Source organism: Homo sapiens, chromosome 10 (assembly GCF_000001405.40).
Source record: "Homo sapiens chromosome 10, GRCh38.p14 Primary Assembly".
NCBI classification, from domain to species: Eukaryota; Metazoa; Chordata; class Mammalia; order Primates; family Hominidae; genus Homo; species Homo sapiens.
This window is the reverse complement of record NC_000010.11, coordinates 127152520-127165385: the sequence shown is the minus strand read 5'-3', so window position 1 is coordinate 127165385 and position 12866 is coordinate 127152520. Positions and strand designations below refer to the sequence as shown.

The window sequence follows — 12866 nt, the reverse complement described above, 5'->3', positions numbered from 1 at the left end:
ACCAAAATTTCAAGATTTTAGTCTTTGGCAACAAGAGCTCTGAGACATTTGTTTAAAAAGCAAATGCAAGGTCAGGCTTTTGAAACAAAGCACTAAAGCTCCAAGATGTATAAGTTCTCATTAAAAATTGCTAACTAAGCTTGATCTAAAAACACACATCAAAAGAAATTAAAGATAAAAGACTCTGTGGATATTTACCATCAGAACCACTGGCAAAAAATGACAACATTAATGCTTTCAAATTCGAACCTCTGTGACAGTACAAGAGCTGAAGAAATATGGGAGTCCTGAAGGAAAATTTGGTTTAATACAGTATACTCACATTCTTATTTTCATTCTAGTTTGATAGCCAGTGCCACCAAAATTCATTTTCATTAATTTTCAATAAATTATAGCTTAAGCTTTATCTCTCCTCCAGGAAAATAAGTTAATCAACTCGGCCTCAGCTGGAAAAAGTTGTTTTCCTTATTAATAGCTGCTCCTGGTGCCTTCTGGGCCAAATGACTTGTTTGTATCATTGTCATCATTTTGCAACTTAGTATTTCCCTGACTGCATGAATGAAGGAAGGAAAATGTAAGCTTTGCCCTGTTTATAATATAGCCAGGCAGTCCACACACAAAATAATAATTACTAGCTTTCCTGATATTTATGTTATGATTTTATATTATGAAAATATGATTAAAAGGCACTAAAGCTAAAAAATAAAAAGTCCTGCCTTAATAATAGTGTTCATCTCTGTATTTGTCCCTGTCCAAATCTGCATGTATTTCTGACAATAATAATGTCTATAAAATACTGATGCATTCCATTTTCTTCATCATGCATGATGGCTCTGTGAAAAAGGAAGCATACAAGTTGCTGGGACAGGGCTACAGAGAGGAGCAACAAAAACAAGGAGGCAGGGCCGGGAGCAGTGGCTCACGCCTGTAATCCCAACACTCTGGGAGGCCGAGGCGGGTGGATCACCTGAGGTCAGGAGTTTGAGACCAGCCTGGCCAACATGGTGAAATCCCGTGTCTACAAAAATACAAAAATTAGTGGGGTGTGGTGGCGGGCACCTGTAATCTCAGCTGCTCAAGAGGCTGAGGGAGGAGAATCACTTGAACCTGGGAGGTGGAGTTTGCAGTGAGCCCAGATCGCACCTCTGCACTCCAGCCTGGGTGACAGAGCAGGACTCTGTCTCAAAAAAAAAAAAAAAAAAAAAAAAAAAAAAAAAAAAAAAAAAGGAGGCAAATGACAGGGAAGACAAAGGGCCAAGGGAGAAAGAGAGGAGAGGGAGCCCGGCTGACCCCTGCGTCCCCTGGGACGCCACCCAGGTTGGAATCTCCCTGCTAACTGTGATGCTTTGCCACGATCCACCAGCATTGTTACCCTTTAATTCTTGATAATGAAAACAAGCATTAAAACTTCCCTAACAGCCAGAGCCTCCCCAGAATTATAGTGTCACCACATCTGGGGAGCTGCGAGGCCAATAAAAGTTAATTTGTCCACACCATCGAAAGAAAGCCACTGAGTTCATTAAGGGTGTTTCTTCCTGGAACACGTCCACCAGGATTGCTTCAGGGCAAAAAAAAAAAAAAAAAAAGGAAGGCTTTATCCAGACACGGAAGTGGGCCTGGTTTAGGTGCAAGACTAAGCTATTTATTTTCAAAACTGGGTGTCGGAAGCAGAAGACGACTGATCTTTTTTCTACTTGTTTGAGGAAATTTAAAATGGGCTAATATGAATACTATTTAGACAGACGCATCACAAAATTGTGAGAGTCCTATTTTCCCTTTCAGAAGCAAAAGGGCATGTTATCAGTTCACCCAAAAGGGCACTCACACAGACTCCTCATTCATTCACTCATTCATTCATTCACTCAAGCATTATTCAAAAGATATTTCTCAGTCATCTACTCTACTTCTGGCCCTGAGGTGGGCACTGAAAGTTTGCCCGCCCGGGAACAGACAAAAACCTCTGCCCACATTGTGTTGACCTTCTCGTGGAGGGAGACAGGGAAAGCGAAATAGCTACAGCTCCCGGTATACTCCATGGCGATAAATGTGGCGGAGAAGTCTCAAGCAGGGAGGGAGGGAGAGGTGGGAAGGAAACTGACTTTCACTGGGCATGAAAGGACCAGGCATTGCTGATGCACCTCAAGCCCCGATCTGCAGAAGTCACCAAGCTATCAGCTAGGATTGTGAAGAGGAACAAAGACATGTTCCCAGCCAGCAAAATGCCCAGTCCCATAGGACAGAGAAAGTGCATCTGATCATCAGATTCCACAGTGGCATGGTCTGCAAGAGAGCCACAAACAAGGTGCTGGGAGTGCTGCACTGAGGATGTGCTGTGCTGCCCCGGAGGGAAGAGAGAAGCCGGGCCCGGACCAAGGATGCAGGTTTGCATGCGGGTTAGAACAGTCCCATGGAAGGAGTGCTACTGTTCAGGGTTCTGTGACTCTGCTTCCTTAACCCATCAAGAATTCCTTCATTTTGGAAACAAAGGTCTTCTGGATTTTAAGTGTCTGGGGGCGAGACCTGTGTTTTATTCTTCCAAGCAACTGTTCCCCAGCACAGGCCATGCACAGTGCTGACACACAGCAAGCCCCAGATGAACTGGGACTGGCAGGCCTGGGGAGGCCGGCTCGTTATGTCGGCTCCTTTGTAGCAAAGTCCATTAAGGTCTATGATTAGAACACTAAGTAGAAATAACTAGGCTTGTTGAAAATTATCCTGACATGTTAAATGAGACCACATGGAGTTTACATGTACAGGTGATCCTTCCAGGGTTTAAATCTCGATTCCTGGCTTTAGGGGAATGGGATGTGTGTGATTCTGAGAACTTTGCCCTACCATGGAAAAAAAGTAAGGTAAAGAGAAATGGGATGAAGACAGACCCAACTCAACTTCTGAATTAGCTGTGCTCCAAACATCATTGCTAAGTAATTTGTGTTGAGGTTGCCAGGGTAGCCCTCAAAATCCTTTAATCTATATGGAGATTCAGCATTAGAATGCTATCAGATCTAACTATCATGTTCTTAGAGATATATTACTTCCAAGTTCTCACATGGGATGACAAAAATAGATCTCCCTTAAACTAATCAATTGGGACACAACTGTATACAAGAAACACTATAGAAAATGCATGTTCATATTCAGGGAGATTACACGGGTGTCTGAAAAAGAAGTATTTGCCCTTCCCCAGAAAGACATTCTAGACAAATGGAGAATACTGAGAGCTAATGGGATCAGCTTTACCACCTGACATATATCTGCAGGCGAAAGAGCTGGAGAAAAGAGAAACCAATCAGACAATATCAAATCGCATTAACGTTCTCGAAACCCATGAGTGGTGGTTATATTAAAGTAACTCTACCACAGACACTGCCTGTCCCATCATCAACGTCCTGAGCAGAAAACATGGGAGACAGTTTTCCAGAGTTTTACTTAACTGTCAGGAAAAAGCTGCTAAGTTTCTCTGGAACAGGGGTCAATCCAACCCCCATAGATCTGAGACAAAGACACCTTCTCAATTATATTTTTTCATTTGTTCCTTCATTCATCATTCCATGTACCCACAGATCTTTCTTGCCATCTCCTCTGTGACTGGCGAACAAAGAAAGATTAGCCTGCCATGACAACATGGCAAGACAGGTGTTCTGGCAGAGGAAATGGAGCAGAGGCGAGGAGAGTGGGGGAGAGCCAGCCAAAGGATCCGTAAAGAACAGCTGCTCCAGCAGAACTCTCAAAAGGTGGCAGCCGGGCAGCTGGAGAGGTGTCAACACTCACCCCTGTTCGACATCCCAAAAGCAGGGGAGAACAGAGGCAGTACTCCAAACAGCCTTGCCAGTATGGAGGGTCACAATTTGTGCTCTTCAAATTGCAACTTCAGTTTTTACCACTAACAACTTACTTTGTCTACTTGGAGATCCAAGGCCAGCAAGGATCTCATAACTGCTCAGCCTCACTTCAGCAAGTTGGATGCTGGCTGACAGATGGGTCCTATCAGCTACTGGGAAAAAGGGAACAGACAAACCATCACCAAAAGCCAGTACCGCCTTTGACTAATGAAGGGGTGATCCTGGGAGTTGGTTATGAAAATCAACTTCATATTCTTTTAGCAACCATAAATTGGCTGTTCCCTCAAATTCTAGCATTTAACAGCTCAAATGCTAAGACAATGTACTTGCGTTTCCATGAGTATATGGTGAAGTCTAAATCCACTTTAGCTGTAAACAGCTGACATCTAAAATAAGTACATGTCCGGGGCATAATCTGGCAAACTCCTGGTGAGACCTTAGATTCAGAAACAAGCCAAATCTACTGCTCAGAGTGGCTCTCAAACATAGGAGGGAATCACTGAAAACAGTGCCTTTACTACTTTTTGAAACTTAATTTCTCCCAGCAATAGTGGTGGTATCATTTTATGCCTCTAATTAATGTCACTTTGAGACTATTAAGTGAAAAAGCCCTTCAAGATGCTGACATAAATGATGGCTTAGTTATCGAGAAGAGACAGCTAGTGCACAAACCTGGGTAAGAATGCAGAAGAAAAAAACGGTTGTTGCATCCAGTAAGAAAACTGAAAGAACAAGAGAGATCAAACTTAAGAGAATAAATTAACGGCAAAAACATTTTCTTTGAGAGCAGAGACCATGCCTTTTTTATATCTGCAACAACCACCATCTCTAGCTAAGGTCCATACAGGTAAACCTAGGATACAGCCTCTGAATTGATTCAGTGTGACAATTGCCATACCCTATGTAATGAACATTTTGAAGACCACACTTAGAAGGTCATGCTTTGATTTCAGCACTATCCAACGTGCTGCTCCCTGACATGCTAGAAGCTCTGAACTGGCTGAAAATTAACAAGGCATTTAAAAGAGCAGCAAATCAACAACTGGGTCACTTGCCCTCCCCTGCACTGAGTACTGAACACATCTTCCAGGGAGGGGCCCACAGCATGCTGCTGAACTCTGCAACCAGACCAGGCACACACAAATGCCCCATCCAGTCACCCAGGAATGTGAGAAGAGAACTTTCCATTGAGAATTTAAGATCTTATGAAGGAAACAGTGTTGTGAGACTATGGCAGTAAAAACAGCACATTTACATCAATCCAATAACCCAATACTAGTACTGTAATTACTATTAGGTACTGTAAAATTAGTTTCCACTTGCTAACCATTCCTCTAGGAGATGCTTGTCACTTTCTCGGTCTTTGCTTCTAATGACAGCACAGTGAGAGACTTTTTTTTTTTTTTCTTTCCTGACCTTTTAACCAAACAATTCATGTTTTGTTATGATTGCCTCAGAGTTGTTAGTCCTGCCTCTCAGGCCCCATCTTCAAGGTCTCGGAGACACTAAGCAGAGCTTGGATATGTGGCCGGGAAGAAAGCTTGCAGTGATCTTTCTCTGACATTTCTCAACACCCTTCCTAACACCCAGGGCCCTGCTGACTTAGATCTCCCTGTGGTGTCAGCATGAAAGAGCAGATGCCGTCCAGCCCTCCCGTGCCCTGCTCCTCGGAGTCCCTGCCACCCAGGACGTGGCCATGGTGCGGCTCTCAGGCTGAGGCCGGCAGCCACCCTCCTCCTTTATCATTCCTGCAGTGGTGTCACAAAAACTGCAGCACCAGCTCTGCCATGGGCCTGCCCTTCTTTGTTTCTTTTCAAATGTCTACCCGTGATGCCCTCTTTTGCCAACGGTCCGTAAAAGGAATAACTGAAAACACGTATACCCCAAATTGTCACCAGTTTTTAAAATAAATATACAAAGGTGCATATATTCCCTCTTTTGCTATTGGTCCAAAAAGGATTAACTGAAGACCTGCATGCCCCGAATTGTCACTACTTTTGAAAATAAATTTACAAAGGTATGTATGTGTGTGTATTTACACACAAAAAAATTCAGGTATGTTATATACTTGTAAGTATACAAGTATATATATTTATTTATACATTCAGGAATTGCTGATAGTAACAACTGAAGAATTAGAGCCGATTATTATAAAGGTATAAGGTAGCTAGAGAAACTGGGGAACTGCATGCTGAGCTAAACCTGAGAGGTCCAGGCCATTACAGAGAGGTAGCCCTGACTAGAGCTCCACGCTGTGTTCTGTAAGCCAAGTTTATTTTCCTTTCTTTAAAGTAGAGCAAAGTCCTGTGAAGAAAGGTGGTTCACTACAAAACAGAAATGTAAATGACTCAAAAACTGGACTCCACAAAAACCACCTTGTAGAATTGGCTTGTCCAGATCCCTTCTGTTTCTAACAGAGCATCACCTTCTCTTTCATGCACTGTCGCAGAGTCTATGTTCTTATAGCTTCCCTATTAACAGTTCATGTCCAGGCTCCTCTAACAGGCAAGCCTACCTTGACCAAGGAGTGTTCAAAAGGCATCAAGCAAGGAGAGGTCCAGGGTCCCCAAATTGGTCCCTGGGATAAAACCCAGTTCTAGAAGGATGGGAGGCTAGAGGGTCAACAGAACAGAAAACAAAAGCACCAAAAAAAGAGAGCTCCTTGGACTTTTAACACTGTCCCTGGTGCTGAATGCGATGTTTTCCAAGCTATATGCATTGTTAAGAGAATACTTACAACTAACTGCCATGGGACGATACATAGTGAATGCCACAAAATCCATATCTACAATGAACATGCTTATCATTAGCACCCAAAGGAGTTCATATGGGGAGAAAAATGAAGACTAGAACTTTTCACAATTTATACCTGTCAGGGTTTTTGTCCACACTCAGTTGGAATTCTTTAAATAGGTAAGTGTGTTATTCTGGACTTATGAAAATACAAATATGGACTCTATGACTTGGCTACATCAACATTAACTGAACGCCCAGAAGGTACCAGGTATTGTATCACGCATGGAGTTACAAGCCTATGTATATATAATACAGGCTCCTCAAAGCAAAAGGGAAGAGTGCTTTACAAAGGTAGCAATTAATCTGCAAGACAGAAAATTTATAATTTGTGATCCAAATGTTCTTCCACTGCAGGTTTTACATCAATAACCTAAGCTTTCTCCTCTCTAAACTTCTAATCTACAAAAGATCTCCAGCCCTACTGTCACTGGAGAAGAATCTGCTCTAGCAGTTTAAAGTTTTTAGGTTGTTCTTCCTTATGGCAATGGCAATATAGAGAATCATTCAAAGTACTGTTTTCTGATGTGTTTCCAAGTTGAGAAGGAAAAAATAGGGAAATTCCATAACAGCACTCTGTGTTCCCTGTCCTGTAGAAATAACTTATCTGTTTCATCTCTATTTGGAGAACATATTCAGATGCTGCAGCCCAATTATTAATGTGACCATAAAATTATCAGTGAAGCCAAACCCTACAGCTTGGAAGCTTCAAGGACAATTAGATGGATTATGAAAGCAGTAAGCACAATGGATTACATAGTTTTAAGCCCTCTATTGAGAACACTCTCGTGCTTAATAAAATTTTAGCAGGCATACCCTGATTGACACCAGCTGCTGGCAGCTGCCTGTGAATTAACCACATGACAAGGTCAACACTTTAAATTTTATTCACAAATTAATCTCCTGCTGACATTCATGGACTCCAAACAACTGATTCCTTTAAACAAAAGAAAGATCCCAAACAAAACTTAAACAAAACCTCACCTTCATGGTAATGAAGTCCTAAAAATAATTCTCACACATGGGAGAAACATACATATATTTAGAAACTGACAGACCACCCACTGTTTTCAACTAGCTAAAAAAAGAATGACCACAGATATGTCTCCAAAGAAAACACAATGACTCCTTTGGTTCTTACCAACAAACGTCAGCCAAACCATTTCTCAGGAATTGGTGAATTGGGCTGGGTTGTAAATAAAAGAAGCAAGAGAAAGAAAATTGAGTGAAAATGATGTTATAGAAGGAGAGGATTGAGAGTAAAAGTCAAGAAGTGTTTCCATGTCATTCAACCACCTATAAGAAAAACTATAGTGGCTTCCCATTCAATTTAAAATAATGCCCAAAGGGCCTCTCATTTTATACACATGTCCTCATCTCTCCCCACTCTCACCTGCTGCATCTATTCCAGCAGCACTGGCCTTTTTTTCTGACTTGCAAACAGAGGAACATCATTCCCACTGCAGGATGTTAACACGTGACGGTCTTTGTGTTTGCAACATCCAACCCTGGGTCAACAGATGACTGACTGCTTTTTCATTACCATCCAGGTCTCACTAAAAATGTCACCTCCTTAGAGTTCATTCTAGACCAAAATACTGCTTCACAACACTTCCTTAACACTCAGCAGTATCAAAAATTAACCGTTCGCTCATTTATGCATTTATGTTGCCCTTCTGCCACTCCCACGCCACTGTGAGCTTTGTGAGGACAAGGACTCCATCTTATTCGCAAATGTCTCCTGTAGAGCCAGAAAAATGTTTCACACTTAGTATGTACTTAATAACTATTTGCTTACTGACCGTAATGGAGGAATATGTGCTTTCTACAAAGTGACTGCAGTAAAGTCTTTTCAGGAAGGGCTTTAGAAGAGCAATATCTCGGGCCAGGCATGGTGGCACACGCCTGTAATCCCAACACTTTGGGAGGCCGAGGCGGGAAGATCACTTGAGGTTGGGAGTTCAAGACCAGCCTGACCAACATAGAGAAACCCCGTCTCTACTAAAAATACAAAATTAGCCGGGAGTGGTGGCGTATGCCTGTAATCCCAGCTACTCGGTAGGCTGAGGCAGGAGAATCGCTTGAACCCAGGAGGCGGAGGTTGTGGTGAGCCCAGATTGTGCCCATTGCACTCCAGCCTGGGCAACAAGAGCGAAACTTGGTCTCAAAAAAAAAAAAAAAAAAAAAAGAAGAAGAAGAAGAAGAAGAAGAAGAAAAAGAGAAAAGAAAAGTAAAGAAAAGAGAAGAAAAGATTCAGAAAAGCAATTTCTTACTGAAGTACTCCAAGGTCCTGGAAGATTCCTCTTGTACATTTCAGGTGCCTGAAGCCTTTGTCCTCTCATTGTCAGGTTCATTGCCTATCCCAAGCTGCCAATTACATGTGGTGCAGAACACCAGCCCCAGCATACAAGCAAGGTGACAGGGAGCATCAGAAGCCTGGGGCCTAAGAATAATGAGATCCTGGACCTGAAGTGTGACTGTATGCTCCTCTGTAAGTGGGGCTAGCATAATTAGAAGGCTCAGGGCTCTAATGCAAGTGAGGCACTGGGAAACTTGGACACTGGGCAAGGAAGGAGTGTTGATGTTGATGAGGCTTGATAGACATTTCCCCTGAGGTTTAGGGCAGGAAGGTTCTATAAGCTTAGAATTCACACTTTCCTATGAGCACAAAAAGAGTGCCTTCAGAAAACTGTAAATATCCCTGGTTTCGCCCACTGTAAGAACCTAAAATTTGGATATGACTAGCACATATAGACAAGTACTAGGTACTTTCTCCTGACTGCTGGCTTATACCCACTAGCACAACACAATAGTAGAGCAGTACCTCATCTGCCACCCAAGCCAACAGTTTAACAACACATTCAGCGTGGACCGTGCCATTGCCAGCACCTGAGCTCAAGGATGGCACTGACTTCACTGTGCAAAATGACCTTGGTCAGCACTGAGCTTAGAGCCGAGCTCCAGTAGAATTAGCTGATGGAGAAAGGCTGTAAGTCTATATAGGGCAAGAGAGAAGGGAGAAGGGTGATGTCATCATGTGGAAGAGCCTTGCCATAGGGTGGACAAATCTGGAGCCAGGTGGGAAGGTGCAGGAGGAATGCATTCTTGGGGCTTGCCATGAGGAGGAAAGGGGTAAGGACTACAAAATCACCGTGTCTGGTGAGGAACAAGGGGAGGGGATAAGGCACAGGCTGTTCATCCCCCTCTCTCCTGACAAAGCCAACGGGAGAACGGAATGGCCTGCTGTGGGGTTCCAAAGGCACCTCATGTGGGAGGTGATGATGGAAAGACGATAGAGACAGCCATACTGTAATTCCAATTCTGGCTGAAATATGATGAATCACAGAAAGTGCCTGGCAACACTTTGGAGCAGAATATGGTCACTTGATCAACAAACTGCACATAACCATGAGGTCACGTCTGAGTTTTGCAAGCCCACTGAGACAATCACGGCATGTAGCAGACAATCCTTTTGTCAAATGTTGATGTAACAGACAATATAATGAGGAAAACAAAAGTTATTTTCAATTTAAAACCCATGATGCAGAGAAGTTTACACAGCAAAGGGGATAAAAAGTACTGACTAGCAATGTTGACAGAAGACCTTCTGTGCACACTGTTACTCTGGTGAGTAGCTCTGTACGTGGAAATTTGCCCCCAGAGTGTTTATAAGCTAATGCAGATGGGAGCTTTTCTCCTGCCACAAATTTAACATTCCGGTTATCATGTCTGTGCCTGGACACAAAATAATATCCAGAAAATACACATCTGCATGTTAAAAATGTCAGAGAGGAAAGGCTGGATAAAATAGGAGAAACTGTGAAGGCATGAAACACTCCCCAGCTGTTCCTACGTGGCTGGACCAAGAAACAGCCAAGGCAACTCCAGCCTGGTCCAGAAAATTCTCATCATCAACCCTTTATGTTTATACAACCTTCAACAATATACTACAGAAAGACCCCAAGATCATTATTATTAATTTTTTAATTAGGGGGGAGAATTAGCAACCTCCCCTACAAAGGCCAAAATCTGCCCGGCCTCAGGGGTCTGACAGAACTGACCAGAGAATAAAGCCAGGGAAAGTAACTCAGAAGTTATGGCAATGGGAGTAAGACATTCTAACATAAGGCTTGGCATTTTCTTCTCTAAAGAGCCAGAGAGTAAATGTTCAGGGATTTGCAGACCAAGAGGCAAAATTGAGGATACTAGAAATAGGTATTTTCATAAAAATTTTCACCATTTTATTTTCAAAAGTAAAAACTTTATTCATGGACACTGAAATTTGAATTTCGGATCATTTCCATGTGTCACAAATATTATATGCTTTCAATTTTTTTTCAAGTGCTTAAAAATGTAAAATCCATTCTTAGTTTGCTGGACAAAACCAGGCCCCGGCGGGATTTGGCCTGCAGGCCGCACTTTGCCAGTCCCAGTTGTAGCAGGACAGGTGGGGTAGAGCAAACATAAGCCATGGAGTCAGCATATGTGTATGTGGTTGGTTTTTCCTCAAAGTTTCTTTAAAACACCATAAATCTGCATTGAAACATCCCACATTCCCTGTGCTTATAACGAAATCATATTATTTACTTCATCCAGGAGCTTATGTTCACTTCTAAATTTAATTTAAATATCATCTTAGCTGTAGGTGTTGCATTGGTTTTGTACAACGAAAGCAGAGACAGGAGCAAACTGGGAAGCATGCATTAATCAATTTCCATGACCATGATGAGCTTGGCATTGGGAAGGCATTTGATTTGAGGCATCTGCTCTATAAAGCCAGTGACCCCCAGCCACCGCTTGTAATGCTCTCCTGTTCTTATCTTGTAGGCTTTCATATCGGACGGGGCAAGACACAGCTAATTGTGACACATGCAGGAACAGTGCATGTATTATCTATAGGTATGTTAACATTCTCCTCTTCCCACTTTCTTATTATGAGTGACAAATGATGTTTACCCACAAATGCAAGAACGATCTGGGGCCATGCTGGGATGATTCTATCAGACAAAAAGTGAAGGACCTTACTTGACTGTAATTCTAAGCTACCTCTAAATACCCCACCCCAAGTATAGAACCGTGGGATGTAGGAGAGCTTGAACCCATTTATCTTGCAAATGTATCTTAGTGGTTTCAAGAATTGGTATAAGTTTGATGGCTTGCTCCCTTGGAATCGATAGGTGTGAGCCCTGGGCTCTGTGTTCTGGAAAGGCTGTAAAACATAGGCCCTTCAGAGGGTATAGATCAAAGGCTTGAAAGCACACCGTATGTGCTAGGAATACCATGGAAAGACCTGGGCTGCTCACACCAAATGTGGAATTTCATTTCCTGGGAACTCTCGAGGATTGTGCTGCCTGCCTGTCTCCGGGCAGAATCCCTGCTCCAGAGCCCCTACAGCTGTTCCTTGTGGTTTTTAATTTGAAGTTTGTTTATATGACTGACATCAACAAGAATACAGCAGAAACTCCCAACAGGAAGAAGCTGTGTTTGGCCTGCATCAGTAATTTAGGATTTTAAGATATAGTCAAAACCTTCAGAAGGATGGCTATCCTTTTTTCTTTTCTTTTTGCAAATGTAATTTTTCACAAACAAAATATAAAAGCGGTGAGAAATGTTATGAGTAAGTTCTTTTTCTAAAGTTTAGACTGGAGAATAATTTTAGTGATCCACCAAATTATCAAAAAACAATTACCAAACCAAAAAACCCTCTAAAAAGTTATTCAAAGTTACTGTCCTCTGCATTAAGAACACAGACATGGGGAGAGCAAAGAGGCTTGAGGCTACACAATCTTCAACCCATCAGGGTTCTCTCCCAAGGGAAAGCCTAGACCTGGCCGTCCATGCCTCCGATCCAGACAGAGCATCCCAGATAGGGCCCAGGTTCCTTAAAAGCAAAAGCAAAGCTGGGTCACCTGGAGACCTTGTCTGGGAGGAGGCAGAAGAAACCACAGGTAGAGATAGGCACCGAAGGCCACATCAGCACATTCCTTAACCTCAGAGGTTCTGAACCAATGGGCCATTTGCAAAGTCTGGAAGGAGACGTTTTCAGTTGCCACAACTGAGGAGCTGCTGCCGGTTATGCAGCAGGTAGAGGCCAGGAATGCTGCTGACATCCTATGCTGCCTGCACAGGGCAACCCCCACAACCAAGAGCTATCCAGTCCCAAATGTCAATAGTGCTGAGGTTGAGAAAGCCTACCTTACTGAAACCACCCCCACCTTAGAGTGTTGTAAG

General features: G+C 42.8%; 2 protein-coding genes across 32 annotated transcripts in view; one reads left to right on the top strand and one right to left on the bottom strand.

Annotated features, from left to right (window-relative positions):
* DOCK1 (dedicator of cytokinesis 1) overlaps nucleotides 1–12866 on the bottom strand; it is a 547089-nt gene that overhangs the window by 287131 nt on the left and 247092 nt on the right. The gene's annotated exons all lie outside the window — the stretch shown is intronic.
* INSYN2A (inhibitory synaptic factor 2A) overlaps nucleotides 1–12866 on the top strand; it is a 61162-nt gene that overhangs the window by 31206 nt on the left and 17090 nt on the right. For 10 of the 11 annotated variants that reach the window (XM_005252694.5, XM_017016539.3, NM_001039762.3 and 7 more), the window contains one exon: nucleotides 11463–11534. The exons of the other annotated variant lie outside the window; for it this stretch is intronic. In XM_005252694.5, the coding sequence (XP_005252751.1) occupies nucleotides 11463–11534 (72 nt within the window). The remainder of the gene's footprint in view (nucleotides 1–11462; nucleotides 11535–12866) is intronic. 11 annotated transcript variants of the gene reach the window in all.